The sequence below is a fragment of the Homo sapiens genome, chromosome 16 (assembly GCF_000001405.40).
Source record: "Homo sapiens chromosome 16, GRCh38.p14 Primary Assembly".
NCBI lineage: Eukaryota > Metazoa > Chordata > Mammalia > Primates > Hominidae > Homo > Homo sapiens.
In genome coordinates, this window is record NC_000016.10 from 21,635,018 (window position 1) to 21,653,113 (window position 18,096).

The 18,096-nt window shown below is 42.2% G+C and overlaps 2 protein-coding genes, 1 long non-coding RNA gene and 2 pseudogenes across 6 annotated transcripts in view, besides 1 other annotated feature; 4 read left to right on the forward strand and 1 right to left on the reverse strand.

Annotated features, from left to right (window-relative positions):
• Positions 1–18,096, forward strand: part of METTL9 (methyltransferase 9, His-X-His N1(pi)-histidine) — a 60,264-nt gene that overhangs the window by 37,810 nt on the left and 4,358 nt on the right. The window lies entirely within an intron of this gene.
• IGSF6 (immunoglobulin superfamily member 6) lies at positions 4,533–17,591 on the reverse strand. Its single transcript, NM_005849.4, has 6 exons — positions 17,515–17,591; positions 12,116–12,475; positions 9,273–9,379; positions 8,531–8,581; positions 8,057–8,137; positions 4,533–6,576 (listed from the first exon to the last, which is right to left on the reverse strand). Exons 1-6 carry the CDS (start codon positions 17,579–17,581, stop codon positions 6,517–6,519), a joined length of 726 nt encoding a protein of 241 aa, NP_005840.2. The 5' UTR covers positions 17,582–17,591; the 3' UTR covers positions 4,533–6,516.
• On the forward strand, positions 7,037–7,143 carry RNU6-1005P (RNA, U6 small nuclear 1005, pseudogene; annotated as a pseudogene).
• On the forward strand, positions 7,277–7,383 carry RNU6-196P (RNA, U6 small nuclear 196, pseudogene; annotated as a pseudogene).
• Positions 9,379–12,450, forward strand: LOC124903663 (uncharacterized). Its single transcript, XR_007065025.1, has 2 exons — positions 9,379–10,159; positions 11,915–12,450. It is a non-coding gene; the product is annotated as an uncharacterized LOC124903663 (long non-coding RNA).
• Positions 10,529–10,708: an enhancer, noted in NCBI's record as "active region_10558". NCBI's record gives its function as "activates an Ori minimal core promoter by ATAC-STARR-seq in GM12878 lymphoblastoid cells {active_cell/tissue: GM12878}" and the evidence as "EXISTENCE:reporter gene assay evidence [ECO:0000049][PMID:35858748]".

Consider the following 18,096-nt stretch of genomic DNA (forward strand, 5'->3'; position numbering starts at 1 on the left):
TTACTTGACTAGGATACCAGGTATCTCCAAACTCTCGGGCTGCAGCTAAAGCCGTATTCTTTTCATTAAAGGCCAGGGTTTGATCTAACAGTAGCATGACATCTCTCCAAGCGAGGTTGAAGGTTTGCCCTAGACCCTGTAGGACATCTGTGTACCTATCATGATCATCTGAAAACTTCCCCAGGTCTGCCTTGATCTGCTTTAAATCAGAGAGGGAGAAGGGGACATGTACTCAGGTTGGGCCAAATTCCCCTCCCCCTACAGCTTGAAGGGAACATAACCGATAGCCTGGGGAGGTTTGTGGTCCTTTGGAGATTTCTTTGCTTATTTCCTTCTGGGCAGGGGAGATTAGAGGAGGATTATCATTAATAGGAGGGGGAGCTATAGGGAGGCTAGGATATGGGGGGTAAGCTGAGCGGTCCTCCTGTGGGATGTAAATTGCAAGCTCTGTATAGTTGTGTATTCTCGTGTATTCTCCTTCAATGAAAAGAAAGCTTGGACATAAGGTATTTCACTCCATTTGCCTTCCTTCTTACAGAAAAGGTCAAGCTGCAGGATAGTATTGTAATTTCTACTTCCCTCAGGTGGCCATTTTTCCCCATCAGAGAGAGAATATTGGGGCTAGGCCATAGTGCAGAAAAAAATGAGCCGCTTCTTTTTCAGGGTTTGTGGGTCAAATTGGTCCCAGTGGCTTAGGATGCATTTCAAGGGTGAGCCTGTTGATGCCTGTTTCCCATCTGAAAGACAAAACCGCCTGTGTTTTTGGTTTGTTTTGTTTCTCCCCCTGCCCAAGAACCTGCAGCAGTCCCCGGACCCTGCTAATTGGAATAGTTGCGCTCACCGAAGCAGCAGCAGAAACGGTAGTTTTCCTCCCAGACCACAAGGAGGACTGAGGAAGGCCGGATTTAGTGGCCCTTACTGACGCATTCTCGAAAACCTGCACCCTTGCCTGTCCTCGTAGACCACAAAGACTGAGAAAAATTGGATTTAGTGGCCTTTACTGATGCATTCTCAAAAACCTGTTAGAGTCCTAAGCATTCTCCTGTTAGTATTGGGACCTTACCTGTGTCCTATAAAGATGTTGTGCCTCAAAAATGAAGTGGAGGGCCATACCCTGAGGGAGGGAAGGGATCTCCAGGGTTGGAAGAGTGACACCTTTTGTCCTCACTTATATGAATAGGAAGGATACAATTTCTGAGGCTCCCCATATCCTAGCTTCAGGAATAGCATTTGTTAGGCCTGCTTTTCTAAGGAGGGATCCTAAAATTCCAGAGTTCCCCCTATGACGGGGCTTTGGGCAAAAATTATGTCTTTCTGATTGGTGAGCCCAGGTGCCTAAAGAAGGGAGTAGACTCCTGGAGTTTATACTAGAAATCATCCTCATAGGAGAAACTGGAAAAGCACCAGAGACAGGGAGTGATTTTGAGAAGTGGGACTAGCCTCAGAGACTCCAAGAGGTGAGAGGAAGTTTGTCTGACAGGCGTTAGGACCCAGGAGGCAAGGGTCAGGGTAGATAGAATAGATGGGCTAGTCTCGCTTGGGCGACATTGAGAGTTCTGCTCATGGCCGCAGGGTCAACCAACTTCTTGTTGGGACCCCGGAGCTGAATGGCTTTCCTCTCTGTCGACCCTCGGTTCAGCCCAGAAGTACTGGAAAGGCGGAAGCTGGTTCCAGGCCAACCACCGCTCCCAACTCTGAAGAGTCGGGGGTTGTTAGCCCTTTCCCAGAAAGCCTGACACCCATGTCTTTAGCCCGGTGGCTGCGCTAATCACTTTTAACTGGCTGACAGGTGCCCAGTATTTAGCCCCCGAACTCTAAGGAAAAATAGGACAGAATAGCAAGTGAAAAGGGTCCGATGGTACTTACCGCTTGGCGATAGGCGATAGTCTCACCACTTGGCGATAGGTGATAGTCCCATCTGGGTCGCCAAAATGTGTCTGGAATTGGTGGGTTCTTGGTCTCGCTGACTTCAGGAGTGAAGCTGCAGACCTTTGCAGTGAGTATTACAGCTCTTAAAGGTGGCACGGACCCAAAGAGTGAGCAGCAGCAAGATTTATTGCGAAGAGTGAAAAAACAAAGCTTCCACAGTATGGAAGGGGACCCGAGCGGGTTGCTGCTGCTGGCTCTGTTGGCCTGCTTTTATTCCCTTATCTGGCCCCACCAACATCCTGCTGATTGGTCCATTTTACAGAGAGCTGATTGGTCCATTTTACAGAGCACTGATTCGTCCGTTTTGACAGAGCGCTGATTTGTGTGTTTACAAACCTTTAGCTAGACACAGAGTGCTGATTGGTGCGTTTAGAATCCTTTAGCTAGACACAAGTTCTCCAAGTCTGCTACCCGGCTAGCTAGACACAGAGCGCTGATTGGTGTATTTATAAACCATTAGCTAGACACAGAGCACTGATTGGTGCGTTTACAAACCTTTAAGTAGACACAGAGTGCTGATTGGTGCATTTACAAACCTTTAGCTAGACAGAAAAGTTCTCCAGGTCCCCACCCGACTCAGAAGCCCAGCCAGCTTCACCTCTCAATGGCACTGGCTGCGGGACTTTGTGGCACCTAGCCTGGGCACTCCAGCAGCCCAGAGGGAGCTTGTCCCCTGATTAAGCCCAGCAGGCACCAGCCAGTGGCACCGAGTGCTGGGCCTGCTGAGCCCGTACACACCCGGAACCTGTGCTGGCCCGCGTGCGCTGCGCGCAGCCCGGCTCCTGCCCGTGCCTCTCCCTCCACACTTCCCCGCGAGCAGAGAGCCAGTCCGGCCTCGGCCAGCCACAGAGAGGGGTCCCCACAGCACAGCGGCGGGCTGAAGTGCTCCTTGAGTGCGGTCAGAGCGGACACCGAGGCCGAGGAGGCGCTGAGAGCGAGCGAGGGCTGCTAGCACATTGTCACCTCTCAATAAGCCACTCAGTCTATGGTAATTTGTTTTTGCAGCTCGAAGTAAAACAAGTTGTTTCAGTATTAATTCTTTTTTAATTGTCATAGGAAACCCAAATCTAAACAGAAAGTTACAGCTTAGGCTGGGTGCGGTGGCTTATGCCTGTAATCCTAGCATTTTGGGAGGCCAAGGTGGGCAGATCACCTGAGGTCAGGAGTTTGAGACCAGCCTGGCCAACAGAGTGAAACCCCATCTCTACTAAAAATACAAAAATTAGCCAGGCATGGTGGCAGATGCCTATAATCCCAGCTACTCAGGAGGCTGAGGCAGGAGAATCACTTGAACCCTGGAGGCAGAGGTTGCAGTGAGCCGAGATCACGCCATTGTACTCCAGCCTGAGCGTCAAGAGCAAAACTCCATCTCAAGAAGAAAGAAAAAGTTGCAGTTTAATTCTTTTCTGGATGCTCAGATAGCAGGACAATTAGTACTGTTGGGGTTTGTTGAATGGTCTTTATGGAAAGGGGTGAAGCTTCATGGTGAGGGACTGAAGTATGCTACATATCTCAATTTAAATGCTGAAGGAACATTTTTCTATAGAAACATTGTTCAATTGCATTTATAGAAGGCATTTGAGGGCCTACTGTGTACCAAGTGGAAATATAAAGATAAATGAGAATCACGCTTTTGCTCTTAAAACACAGAATAGTACACAATATAGATAGAAACAGATAATGGCAGGAAATTGTGGTAAGAAATATGTCAAACTAAGTACTGAAGAATTAGAGACGAATAGATCTGTTAGCCTGTGGGTGAGTTAGGGAAGGTTTCATGTTGAGGTGAGCTGTGTTTGTAGTCTGAAGCATTTTACCAGGCTGAGGGGAACAGCATGTGCAAAAGCATGAAGGTGTGAGTAAGGTTTGTGTGGGGGTGGAGCAAGTTCAGTATGACCCGAGGATAGTTTGCAAAAGAGGCCTTTGATTGTATAGTGTAGCACTCAGTAAATAGTGTTGGCGCCTGAAATCAATGACTGTACATCCCAAACTAATCTCAAAGCTATTTCCTTTTGGTGTGGGTTTGGTTTTGTTGTTAATTTTGAAATATACTTTTGAACACTGAAATCTCTGAAACTGCTAAGATCTCTAGAAGTGTAATTGGGAAAGAAACTTGCTTGTAGCTTTAACAAAATAAGAAACTCTTCCCAAATAAAACTTATTTTGAAGTTTGAAAATATATACTTTTGGTGAGATAGATGAATAAATGAATGAATACTGTGTATACACCAGATATTCTTATATAAGACCTAGAGGAATGGAACTCTTTGCGAAAGTATATTCCGTATTTCAGCTTCAAAATCAATCTTTGAAACACGGTCCTTGCTTACATGGGAAAGGCATATTGTGAGTCAAATACTAGTTTATCTGAGGGATTTTGTCTCCTGGTTAGACAATGAACAGTGTATTTTCAGTCCTGGAATTCAGTACCAAAATGTAATGACTCCCAGAAATGAAAAGCAAATGATCGAATTCAACACTTCTGTTCATTTCGATGGTATTAGTGCTTGCCCTTTTTTGCAGTCTGGCTTAGAAGCTCATTACTTTACCTGAGCTAGTGGTCTCAGAGTGGGGAAGTACACACTGCAGAGTACACAAGACAGTTTATTTTGGAATATGGCAGGAAAGTATTAGCATTTTTTATTTATATTGCTGCTTATGCCATTGTTTAATTTGTTTTTGTGTATAAGGTACAAAGGTACATTTTCATGCATATACCGTATACAAAACACATGTGGCCCCACACATATACACATGTGCACTCACGTGTACACACAGATACACACAAAAAAATGAGGTTCCATGCTGCCTCCTTTCCCCTGCCCATTTTTCTGGGCACATAGGATCAGGAAAGTTTGATATCACTGATTTAAACCATCAATGCAAAAACACTTTCAAAGGAATCTTAAAATATTTAACAATTCTAAGTTTTATAAAGAATACACCTTAGGCAATACCAGTTTAAAAGAAACACTTTATTTTATTTATTTATTTATTTATTTATTTATTTTTGAGACAGTCTTGCTCTGTCACCTAGGCTGGGGTGCAGTGGCGTGATCTCAGCTCACTGCAACCTCCGCATCCTGGGTTCAAGTGATCTCCTGCCTCAGCCTCCCAAATAGCTGGGATTACAGGTGTGTGCCACCAAACCCCGCTAAATTTTTTTGTATTTTTAGTAGAGACGGGTTTCATCATGTTGTTCAGGCTGGTCTCGAACTCCTGATCTCATGATTCACCTGCCTCAGCCTCCCAAAGTGTTGGGATTACAGGCGTGAGCCACCACACCCGGCCTAAAAGAGACACTTTAATGAAATAAACATAGTAGGTTGTAAGGTTGTAATTTGTGTCTAATAATGAATGCATACTTATGGGCACTTTAGATTTTTTTATACCAAAGTAGCTTTCAAAGGACAATTTATATCATGTTTTCTTAGTGAAGTGGTAATGAATTCCATAAATATCCTTGTACCATGCCTCCTATCTGACATTTCCCTCCTAAATTGGTTAAAAATCAGTATTATAGACTGTGCGCGGTGGCTCACGCCTGTAATCCCAGCACTTTGGGAGGCCATTTCAGGCAGATCATCTGAGGTCTTGAGTTTGAGACCAGCCTGGCCAACATGGTGAAACCCCGTCTCTACTAAAAATACAAAAAAAAAAAAAAAAAAAAATTAGCCGGGCGTGGTGGTGCGTACCTGTAATCCCAGCTACTTGGGAAACTGAGGCAGAAGAATGGCATGAACCCGGGAGGTGGAGGTTGTAGTGAGCCGAGATTGCACCACTGCACTCCACCCTGGGCAACAGAACGAGACTCTGTCTCAAAAAAAAAAAAAAAAGAAAAGAAAAAAAATCAGTATTACAAACGTGCTTGTAAAGTAGATGTGTTGCCCACATCTTCCCTGGTGCTGTTATTTGGCACAACACTGACATCTAGAGTCCGTTGTGGCTTATTTGTTCTGAAGTTACCTCTGTTTAACCTTCAGCTTTGGATTTTCTGTATTTTGGCTTTTATGGTCTTACTCTAGCCACTATATTATTCTCATTTTGCTGATAGCATGATGTAAGTTACTTTGCATACCCTGGCAGGCAAATGTGCGTTACCCCACTGCCCCATTACAACATCAGAGGAAATAACTTTACTAAGGTGCTTTTCAAAATGAATGTCTCTAACTCAAATTTTGTCACGTTGTCCCTCCCAACTTATTTTAATTGTGCCATGATTTCCACAAACCATAAAGGTGATTCTTCCACTCAAGACTGAGGCACATGGTTTGGCTTCAGATCTTCAGGATGGCAGTCATCACACATCTCATGTTGAATGAAACAGACTCAGGATACAAGTTTAAAATAGAATTTTTTTTCTTGGCAAATTTGGAAGGTATTTTTCAGTTGCATTTTGTTGGGTTTTAGTATTTTGGTAATGACTATTAGTTATAGTTTCCTTACATTCTGACATCCTTCTTTGTAGCCAGTTGTCTTTTCAGTTTACCTTTATTTTTTTTTAAGACCTGATGATATATGTTCATTAACACTGCCATAGCTCCTGGAGTTGGATTTTCAGTGACTTCATTGAAAATTAAAACGTTTCTATGGCCTTTCATAGTTGGAAAGTACTCTTCTGTTTTCATAAGTGTTGTTATCTTTCTCCTGCAATAATAAATAAATAGAAAGCCATGTTTAAGGTTATGTAACCAATGAAGCCAACTGCCAAGGAACATGCAAACCACTGGGCCATCTTGGATTCTGGGTCCTAAGTGTCCATATGGTAATCTTAAAGGCCAGATTACCGTTTTCCCCATCCGTATTTAGAGTAGGATGTGGGAACTGAAAAATACTTTTTTTTTTTGTTTGGATGCTACTGTCAAAATCGTGGCTGGGAGCTTTACAATTCTCACTTCTAAGACTGCTTTCAGGCCACATACCTCGGCCTTGTTGTTGAAAACATGTCCCAGCCTCAGAAAGAAAAATGATTTGTAATTACTCAGCATGGCATCTTAGTAATTAGACCACCTATCTTTATGTATTCATATATACACTGTAGGATGAAACGACTACTTAGACAATATTCTTTCCTTGGCAAAAATCCTTTGTGAAAGTTAGATTTTTAGCGCTTGCTTTGGCAGCACATACACTAAAATTGGAACAATATAGAGAAGATTAGCATGGCCCCTGGGCAAGGATGACACACAAGTTCGTGAAGCGTTCCATATTTTTTTAAAAAGAAAACAATTAAAGTAAAAGTTGGACTTAAAAAAATCGCCTTATTTCAGTCTCCTGATGCATTTGCCCTCTTGGCTGCTGTTTAAGAGGAAAATATCTTTACTAGTTTATCAGTTCAGCTTATTTTGTGCTCGCTTTGGCAGCACTTACACTAAAATTGGAATGATACAGAGAAGATTAGCATGGCCCCTACACAAAGATGACATGCAAATTTGTGAAGCATTCCATAAATTTTAAAAAATAAATAAAAATAAATTAACCTTATTTTGTATACATTTTAGCTTATTTGAGCTATCTCATCATGCATCATGGAAACAAAGTATCTGTTCTATTGGCATTAAGATAATATTTTGTTTGAAGAACCTGTTTATATAAGACTTTAAAGGAATACTTTCAGGATGTATTATAGATATACATGTATTCTTTTCAGTTCAACTCCAGACACTGGAGAAATACTTGTTTTTTAATATCATTAGCTGCATCTTTTCTAATGTGAATTTATTTTTGCCTTATAAGTAACAAGTAATTTTTTTTCATAATTTGACCCACAAACATTTGCAGTATCTACTGAACGCCTACCACTGCATGCAGGATACTGTACAGAGTAGCTTTTAATCTATCCTTTTAAAGCATCATTGTCTGTATTGAAAACATTGCTCGTGTCTAATGTGTTTCTGAAAGTTTCCATGTCACTAAGATGCCAGCCTGGGGCTATTTAATATTGTATCAGATGTCTTTTGTTATGTATTTATTAAAACAGGTTCTATATAAAAATACATTCTTGTGAAAGTTCTCTTTCAGACTCTTCTGAAGGAAAACATGGTTCTTGACAGCTCCTTGGCAGCTTAGTTTTTTCAAACGTGCTTTATATCTGTATTTACATTTTTTTTTGACATTTTACACTTACAGATTGCTGATTTGTTTCCACATGTCTCTTATGGTATAGTTCTTGAGCAATTTCCTGAAAAATACGCCGAGCACTCTTCTTCTATAAAGACAAATGAGAAAAAAAAATTCTCTTTTGGGAATATAAGCGATGATAACGACGCATCATCAGAACTTTTCTTGCTCTATTGCCACCGGTCCCAAAAACTACCCCCTCCCCCAACACATATGTGCCTACAGTTAACTCTTTTGTATTTGAGAACTTTAAATATAATTTATGGTTGAGAACTGTCCAATTTAAGTCACAGTTTACCCCTTGAGATTATTTTGTCATTGAGTTTCTCAACAATAGGAAATAGTGTCTGCAGTTGAAAGTTACCTTGATATTCTGTTTAAACTTAACATTTAAATATTTAAAAGCTAAAAAATATTTCAGTTTTGAAATCGTTACAACCAGCCACAATTTAAAAAATATTTTTCAAGTGTTGGTCTGTACCTTTTGTGAGTCTTCTTTTATTTCTTTGTTTCTTAGAGGGTTGGATTTTGACTGCCAAGAAGAGAAGGAAAGTCTATGAAACATTTTATGTACTCATAACAATGGTGGCAGATATCTCATGCCCTAATAAGATTAAACTAACTTAATATTTAAGTGATATACAATGAGACTTAATTTTTACATCATTTTTGAGATGCTTTTACTCCATTAAAAACTAATTGAACAAACTGACGTTGATTGTAGGATTTATAGTAATCCTAACACAATGGTATACATCTCCCTTCTTATACACATAGCCAAAAGGTATTCTTTTTTAATAACTTTAGCCCTTTTTGAAGATTTTAAGGCGGCTTTTAGTTTCTTCATCAACCCATTTTTGTTCTTAAAGACTGTTCTTAAGGCTTTCGTAGATAACAGTAATATCTCGCCCTCCACCTGCCCACACCTCACCCCTACAGCAGAAAGATAGCATAGTGGATGGCTCTCTTCTTAATCCCATGCTACTGGGCTTTAAAGAGAAAACAGCAAACTATGTCCCCTGGCTAATAATTTCAGTGATGAGAATGTATGATGCCTTCTTCCAAAGACCTCTTCTGCAGGTGGTGTTCCCTGCAGATGCACAGGAAAATGTTAATTAGGGAGCTCTTGCTGAGGCCCATAACTTGTGGAGAGATAGAAATTATTTTTCTTTTGATAATATTCAAGGATATAGGGACATTCCATGCAAGAGGATTTGACTTACTTTGGAGAGGAGTATGAAGGCCACGCACACACCGGTCACATAGACAGAGAGCAGTGATACAAGAGCTGTCAGGAAGCTCCGCAGTTCCTTGCTGAGCAGCTTAATTTCTTAATGACAAAAACAGAAAGAAGCACATTGACTATTAAAGCCTATTCTTTCAAATACATGTGTAAAGTATCCTTCACACTGCGTTTTAGAGGTGAAACGTGAACTTACTCTGCTTGCCTATTCGTATAAAAACTAGACCTCAAAAGGTACTCAAGTATGTAATAGTTAAAGCCAGTTCATCAGTTCTTTAAATGTGTTAAACCAAAAATGTTACTCGTTTTTAAACATTAAAAAAATTCAACCAACCATTTGTCATATTGCTAAGCATCACTTTTTAGATAAAGGATTATTTGAAGTTAGATAAACATTTCCAGACAGTTTGTTCAAGGGCATCTAAAATCTCTTTTGGTAGAAACGGTTTACCAGTATCATCAAGAGTCTGCCTATGTGGTTAAGATATTTTCATATGTATTTGTTAAGGGTGATATTTATAGCCTTGGAACTAGTACACATAGCTGAAGAGTCCCATCTGTGAAAGAACCTGGGAAGGCCATACATTGAGGAGCGCAGTGCTCACTGCGTGCTTGAAAGACAGGCACTTTTGCCAAATGTGCTCTTCTTTCTTTATGATAAAATTCTGGAAATAGAGTTATTGAATCCATTTTCACATTCGGAATTTCTCTCTCCTTGCAGAAATTGTCTTGTGCTCTGGGTAGGGATTAAGTAACATGCCATGTCTTCAATTACCTGACTATTTGGAGTACAAAATACAATTAGATTTGTACTTACTGTCTGAATAGCCTGTACTTTCCAACTAAATATCCCATAGATGAGACTGAGTGTGATGGCTCATGCCTGTAATCCCAGCACTTTGAGAGGCCGAGGTGGGCAGATCACTTGAGATCAGGAGTTTGACACCAGCCTGGCCAACATGGCGAAACCCCATCTCTACTAAAAATACCAAAATTAGCTGGGCGTGGTCGCACATGCCTGTAATCCCAGCTACTCAGGAGGTTGAGGCAGGAGAATCGCTTGAACCCGGAAGGTGGAGGTTGGTTGCAGTGAGCTGAGATCACGCCACGGCACTCCAGCCCGGGCGACAGAGCAAGACTCTTGTCTTAAAAAAAAAGAAAGAAAAATCCCATAGATGCTTATCCTGTGAATGCAGTTTATGCAGCATACATTTTTATTTGTGAAACTAACAAATTAACCACATCTATACAACTAAAATAAAAAAGCTTCAGTGTGAAAATAGGAGTTCTGTAGAAGAGACAGGAAGTTGCCATGTCTGCCTTAACACTTTCAATTCTGCCTTTCACTTTCACTTCACTTTATATAAGCCTTGCAGCTTTGAGACCTTCATCTTTTTACAAGCCATTTTTCCCTTTGACTAACATGTTTTTAGAAGGCTAATGCAGTGAGACATACAAATCTCTAAAGCTGTGTGTGTTTTCATATCAGTAGCTAACATTTGTTATTTGCTATATGCCAGGCACTATTAAAAATGCTTTAAGTGCCTTAACTTATTTATAATTTAGCTGACAGATGAGAATAAACTAAGGTTAAATGACATTTGAATATCAAAAGCCCATTAGAACCCTCGTAGTTTAAAAGCACAGGTTATAATACTGGATGGTCTCCCTTCCTCAGAGTCCTATTTTGAAATCGAAGGGCTGGTTGATTTTGAGTTCATGTTTTAACAATCTCTGCTCATCATACCAGGGTCCTTCCTAAGGGAAGAGACCCCAACAAGGCGAGGAGTTGCTGCTGTTCTCTTTTTTCCTTCAGAATCATGTAAAGCTTTTTCTCTGAAATTCCCCCTTTTTTTTTCTCGGGAATGTCTTAATCTCAGTTTACTCAAGGGAATGACTTGGTGAAATTACTGATAGGATTTAGCTATGTTTGATGTCCTCGCTCGGCTGAGGAATTGTCATGGGTTTTATCAAATCTCAGGAAGTGAGAGTCATCACTTTCCGTTCACTGATGTCCAGGCAGAATGGGAAGGGTCAGGGATCCCTGAGTAGCTTCTCTCCAAATCTGTGCTTATTCTCCATGTTGCATAGTTTCTGTGGGTCCAATTTATTGATCTTTTACACTTCTCTAGTGCTTTGTTCTAGGTGGTGCATTACCAGACTAGTTCCTGAGAAAGCTGATAGTTACTCACCACAAGGTTCCCTTTGGACATGGTACTTTACACTAAATCACTGTAATATACAAAAGAGGTGAACATGGTTGGTTAAACATCACCATGTAGGGAGAATAGAGCACCCAGCAAATCACTGACTTTGTGTTAGTGGATGTTCGAGATGGATTGGAGTAGTTCTTTTGTTTTTCTGAGATGGAGTCTTGCTTTGTTGCCCAGACTGGAGTGCAGTAGTGCGATCTCGGTTCACTGCAACCTTCGCCTCCTGGGTTACAAGCGATTCTCCTGCCTCAACCTCCCAAGCAGCTGGGACTACAGGTGCATGCCACCATGCGCGGCTAATTTTTGTATTTTGAGTAGAGATGGGGTTTCACCATGTTGGCCAGGCTAGTCTTGAACTCCTGACCTCAAGTGATTCGTCCACCTCAGCCTCAAAGTGCTGGGATTACAGGTGTGAGCCACCACGCCCAGCCAGTTGGAGTAGTTCTTTAGTCCAAACCTCATGGTGACTTGTGTTCAGATCACACCCATCACTGGCTAGGGTATTAACTTAGCAAATTTATCTCCTGATTTCTACATGTGAGTGAGGTAATGATTTTACAGGCCTGAACAAGATGCAATGATGCACTGAAATAAAGCCTCGCTGACTGACCTCTTACCACCAGTGTGGTCCCTCCTCCTGTCTGTTTAGCTCTCGCTTCCGGCACACTGGGGAATGCTATTCCACAGATGTAAATTGCACTGTCATTTGAAGTCACTCTGTTTACAGTGAGGGAAACTTGGTTTTCTTTGAGGGCCTCCCTCACTGTGAACTTGTCTGCCTCACTTTTGCACCCGTCCAAGCACAGGTTCTCAGGCTGGTGAGCACCGTAGCGAAACCACAGGCATGTTGGTTGCTCAGAAGGGCATCCGGTTGCGGAGAAGGTACACTTTATGGTGACGGCCTCATGAGTGTAGTCCACTTCTAGGTACCACGGTTGTGTGACAGAGAGAGTACAGGCGCCCACAGCACCTGTGGGAGGAAGCAGATGAGTGGGTTAATGGGCCTGCCACCTCACTTTGTGCTTTTATTATATTTTTGAGGTAGGAAACCCAGCCATTCTGTTATTTTTCTTACCTTAATCCCAATATAAATAAGACTAAAAATAAACACCAGTGGTCCTCACTTGCCCCAACTCCTCCTGTTTTCTGACCTTGACCTGCTGGGTCACATGATGTCTGTTCACTGGAGGCCAGCCCTAGAGAGGCTTCAGGGGAACAGAGTCCCTGTGCAGGAGGCCTGCATAGAGGTGGCACCGTATTGGACTCAGAAGTTTGGGGTCCATCTGTGACTCTTGCTCCTTACAAGCTTTCCTTCGATCCAATCACTTAATCTCCTGCCTGCTTTCTTGTCCGCACCCTGGCCTCCCCAGAGTGCTGTGTTCAGTGTGGTAACCTGTGTCCCCAGACGAACGTTGCTGCCGCTGATGGAGCCTATGAGCAGCAGCGATGTTTGTGCTTTGTGGGAGTTGAGATCGCCAGGAATTCATGGCCATTCACAATTGTTTCTTTGTGAGCCTGGTGTCCCTTTGGGAAACATGATAAAAGGCAACATGTACACCTGTGGAAATGCAGCCCTGGCTTAGCCTACCATGTCTTTGATTACTGAGCAGGGACCATATGAGCTCGCCAGGCCATAGCTAAGCAGATTTGGTTTCTCCCTGGCGTGTGTGCTGCTTTGTAGGCCCTTGTAGCATTTATCTTATTTAATTAACAATATTGTGATAAAGAGCACAGACTTGAGTTCAAATCCTAGCTCTGCCTGTTCCCAGCATTATAATCTCAGTATCTCAGTTTCCTCATTAGAAAATGGGGATAGTATTGTTGACCTCATGCAGTTAGTGTGACGTTCAAGATGATGCCTAGGAAGTGTTTACCTGCCTAAGCTATAGTAAGTATTAAATACAAGGGAGCGATTGCTGCTGCAGCCGCCACTGCTACTGTTCCCACAGTGTCAGATGGCTGTTGGAGAGATGGTTGTGGACGTCTAGCCACAAGGTGTTCACAGAGCTGGGATTAGTCACCCACTCCAGTGTACTGTCCACCATGTGGTGCTCTTCCAAGTTATGAGGATTGAGTCCCCCACCTTGGCCTTTATATCCCAGGCATGTGAAGCTGGAAAGCCACTCGAGTGCACAAATGGAAAGACCCGCCCTAAACCCTTCTTTTGCGGCAGGGGAGGCCATAGGTAAAATAGTATTGGTTGAGACAAATTGGAATTTGTCAAGTTTTTGGTCTGAGTTCCGCCTGGTCATATATTCCCAAATGGTCCTATTTGTGTGAGTTTGTCCTTTGCTACTGTAAATGAAACTGAAAAGTCATCCAAGTGGTCTGATGCTTAATTTTCAGACAGGGGCTTTTTTCTCTTAGCGTTTCTCTTATGGATCCCCATTCATAACAGCAGAGGAATTAAAGTTAGAATCATGGCGTTTGTGATGCGAGTCTCTTCTCACCATGTTTTTTTGTTTTTGTTTTCATTTTTGTTATTGTTTTTGGACAGAGTCTCTGTCTCCCAGGCTGGAGTGCAATGGTGCAATCACGGCACACTGCAACTGTGACCTCCCAGGTTCAAGCCATCATCCTGCCTTAGCTTCTCAAAAGTAGCTGGGACTGTAGGCCTGCAGCACTGTGCCCAGCTAATTTTTGTATTTTTTGTAGAGACAGGGTTTCACCTTGTTACCTAGGCTGATCTTGCACCCCTAAACTCAAGCGACCCGCTTGCCTCGGCCTTCCAAAGTGCTGGGATTACAGGTGTGAGCCACTGCGCCTTGCTCTCTTCTCATCATGTTATATTTTAGTATTTGTGCAACATGAGATGAGCTGGGAGCTCTGTGGTGACCTGATAAATGCAAACCAGACAAGAGGGTGCAGTCACCTGGAGGAGGCCTGCAAGCTTCTCTGAGCTTCGTGTCTGTGGGAGGCCCAGCTCAGCTCCATCTCCAGCCAAGGGGATTGGATTCCCTCTCAAGTCTGAGAAATACAACCTCATGTCTCCTGCCCAGACTCAAGCACCTTACAAGTACAGTGAAACATTTTATAGTATATACTGAGTGGAAATTTAAAATGGAATTGGGTCTGCCAAAACTTAGCAAAGTTAAGCACTGTCTCAGTCTCAAGTCATCTTTCAGATAATGTTTTTATTTTTATTTGTAAAATTATTTTTAAAAAGTGGACGATTCCATTATTTACACATTTTTATTTTTGAGATAGGGTCCCACTGTGTCGCCCAAACTGGAATGCAGTGGTGTGATCTTGGCTAACTTACTGTAGCCTTTGTCTTCTGGGCTCAAGCAATCCTCTCACTGCAGCCTCTGGAGTAGCTGAGACTATAGGTGTGCACCACCACGCCTGGCTAATTTTTTTATTTTTAGTAGAGACAGGGTTTTGCGATGTTGGCCAGCCTGGTCTTAAACTCCTGGGCTCAAGCAATCCACTCGCCTCAGCCTTCCAAATTGGGTAGTGTTTTTAAAAGGGAAGCCAAAGAGCCAGGCGTGGTGGTGTGGCCATTAGTCACAGCTACTCAGGAGGCTGAGACCGGAGGCTGATTGAGCCCAGGAATTCCAGGCTGCAGTGAGCTGTGATGGCACCACTGCACTCCAGCCTGGGCAGCATTGTGAGTCCCTGTCTCTATTAAAGGAATAGAGTCTGGACGTGCACTCCAGCCTGGGCAGCATTGTGAGATCCTGTCTCTATAAAAGGAATAGAGGCTGGGCATGGTGGCTCACGCCTGTAATCCCAGCACTTTGGGATGCCGAGGCGGGCAGATCACCTGAGGTCAGGCGTTCGAGACTAGCCTGGCCAACATGGTAAAACCCCATCTTTACTAAAAATACAAAAAATTAGCCAGGTGTGGTGGTGGACGCCTGTAATCCCAGCTACTTGGGAGGCTGAAGCAGGAGAATCGCTTGAACGTAGGAGGTGGAGGTTGCAGTGAGCTGAGATTGTGCCACTGCACTCTAGCCTGGGTGACAGAGTGAGACTCTTGTCTCAAAAAAAAAAAAAAAAAAAATAGAGGTTGGGGTGGCGGGGATAGCTGACTTTCAACACTTTTCTTTAAAAACTAGTAGTATAGGATAAAAACAGGTATTTGTAACTTTGGAATTTCATATCTCTACTTATTTCCACCTTCTTCCCAATTAGGCTATGTGTGGGAGAAAACCAATTGTAATGATTTCCTCTGTGAGCAGGAACTTGTGATGAAACTGTGGTTCCCTCCCCCAACCAGTTAGGCAACCTATTAACAAAAAAGAGAAGTTTGGATATGTCACACCACAGCCTGCTTCTGTGAATGATTTCTTTTAAGAATCCTCATATTCTAGGAATTGTTTTTTAAACACAGTATCCAATGAAAAGGTTGAAGATTTATTTCCTCCATGGAGGGAATAGAAAGATTATTCTTATTATTTTAAAAAACCATATTGAGGCTGGGCATGGTGGCTCATGCCTGTAATCCCAGCATTATGGGAGGCCGAGGCGGGCGGATCACGAGGTCAGGAGATCGAGACCATCCTGGCTAACACGGTGAAACGCTGTCTCTACTAAAAATACAAAAAATTAGCCGGGTGTGGTGGCAGATGCCTGTAGTCCCAGCTACTCGGGAGGCTGAGGCAGGAGAATGGCGTGAACCCGGGAGGCGGAGCTTGCAGTGAGCCGAGATCTTGCCACTGCACTCCAGCCTGGGTGACAGAGCGAGACTCCGTCTCAAACAAACAAAAAAGCCATATTGAAAGTAGGAAGAGAACTAATTCTTGACATTTAAACAAAGCTGTCTCTCTATCTAGTAAGTAAGAAGTAAGTAAATGTCTTGCTCTGTTGCCCAGGCTGGAGTGCAGTGGCACAATCACAGCTCCCTATAGCCTGAAAGTCCTGGGCTCAAGTGATCCTCCTGCCTCAGCCTCCCAGGTGGGTGGGACTGCAGGTGCAGTGCAGGTGCCATCACGCCCAGCTATTTTTTTTTCTTGTGTAGAAATGGGGGTCTCATTATGTTGTTCATGCTGGTCTTGAACTCCTGAGCTCAAGTGATCCTCTCACCTTGGCCCCCAAAGTGCTGGGATTACAGGCATGAACCACCACGCCCAGCCCAAAGCTTTATTATATTAGATTTCAAATTTCTAACATATCAAAGTAGCGAAGTAGTACAGTCAACCCCCTGCCATCACATGGCTTCGACCCAATCTTGTTTCTTTTCTCCTCCCACCTACTCCCTCACTCCCATATTATTTTAGAGCAAATCCCAGCCATTTTATCTGCATCTTTCAGAATATATCTCTAAAAGACAGGAATTCTTCTTTAAAATAATGCTAATTAAAATAGTCTATGAAAGTAATATATACTTATTAGCAAAAAACAGGTTATTAAAAGTAGAAGCAAAAAGTCACCCATAGTCCTTTTGCCTGAAATAACTCCCATTAACATTTTGATATATTTCTTCACAGATGAGAAAAAATTAAGAACTTTCCCCCCTTCCCTGCCCTATAATCCAAATTGTGTGGGCAAATCTGAGATTACTAGATGTATTGGAAATCCTTTCTCTTTCATAGATAAAAAAACAGAAGTAGACAGAATTTTAAAAATAGATATACTATGGGATGGCTATTGGAGTCATGGCAGTTTTTTTTTTCTTAAATGAAAAGTACTTTTATAGAAATTGTTCTTTGAAAATATTCAGCAAATAATCATTTATTGCTTTCTATGTGCAGATCAAGTTTGTATGATAATTAAATTATTGATAACTTATACCTACGATTTTAAGAATATTTTCAACCCTTTGGTCAGATTGTCTCCAATTAGCATAATAGCAAAGAGACTTTTCAAGGTTAATATGAAACTTTTTCTCAGCTATTTTTTTATTGTCTATTTCTCAGGGGAAAAAGGAAACTTATCCTCTTAGGCAGTTTTCATAATGTTATACATTTAAAAATTAATCTGAAGGAGCTTAAAATATAAATGCATTAGGTGAAAAATAGCAGTTGATTTAAATAAAATGAAGGAGGAGAAGAAAAAGAACCTTACCGACACAAAATAGAATGAGATTGGTTTGCAGATGGCGAGCGATGTTGCTTCTGCTCGCAGTCCCCATTTCTGTGTATGCCGGGGCGGGTTGGGGTGTGTATTTGAAAGGAAAGTTGGCTTTCTTTTTTCAGAAGGGAAGAAGAGCTGAAGAGAGGAACCTCTTATGAAGGAACCATAATCAGGAACTTTTTGAAATTGTGCAAGGATGGCTTCACCATTTAACATTGAGATTTTGGCCTGGAGCACATTTAGAAATGTGCATATCTTTTTTTTTTCCATGGATTTTACAGTTGTCATAGGTGTTAGATGTTTCTGGGTGAGATTTTGATTTACACCTAGCACATATTTCCAGGAAGGAGTATTGTTTGACAAATAATTCGTACTTGGATTTTTCAGAACAGTTCAGTCACTGTCTAGGGTACCTGCTCTGGGTGCCACTCTGGGCCAGTAACTGCTGGGAACAAAGAACAGCAGAAGGAGAAGTGGCTTTGTGTAGAGATGAGAAAAGTTAGTAAACAACACATTCTAATGCAGCGAATAAATAAATTGTCTGTTATTAACTTTTTGTACTCCAGTTTTGAA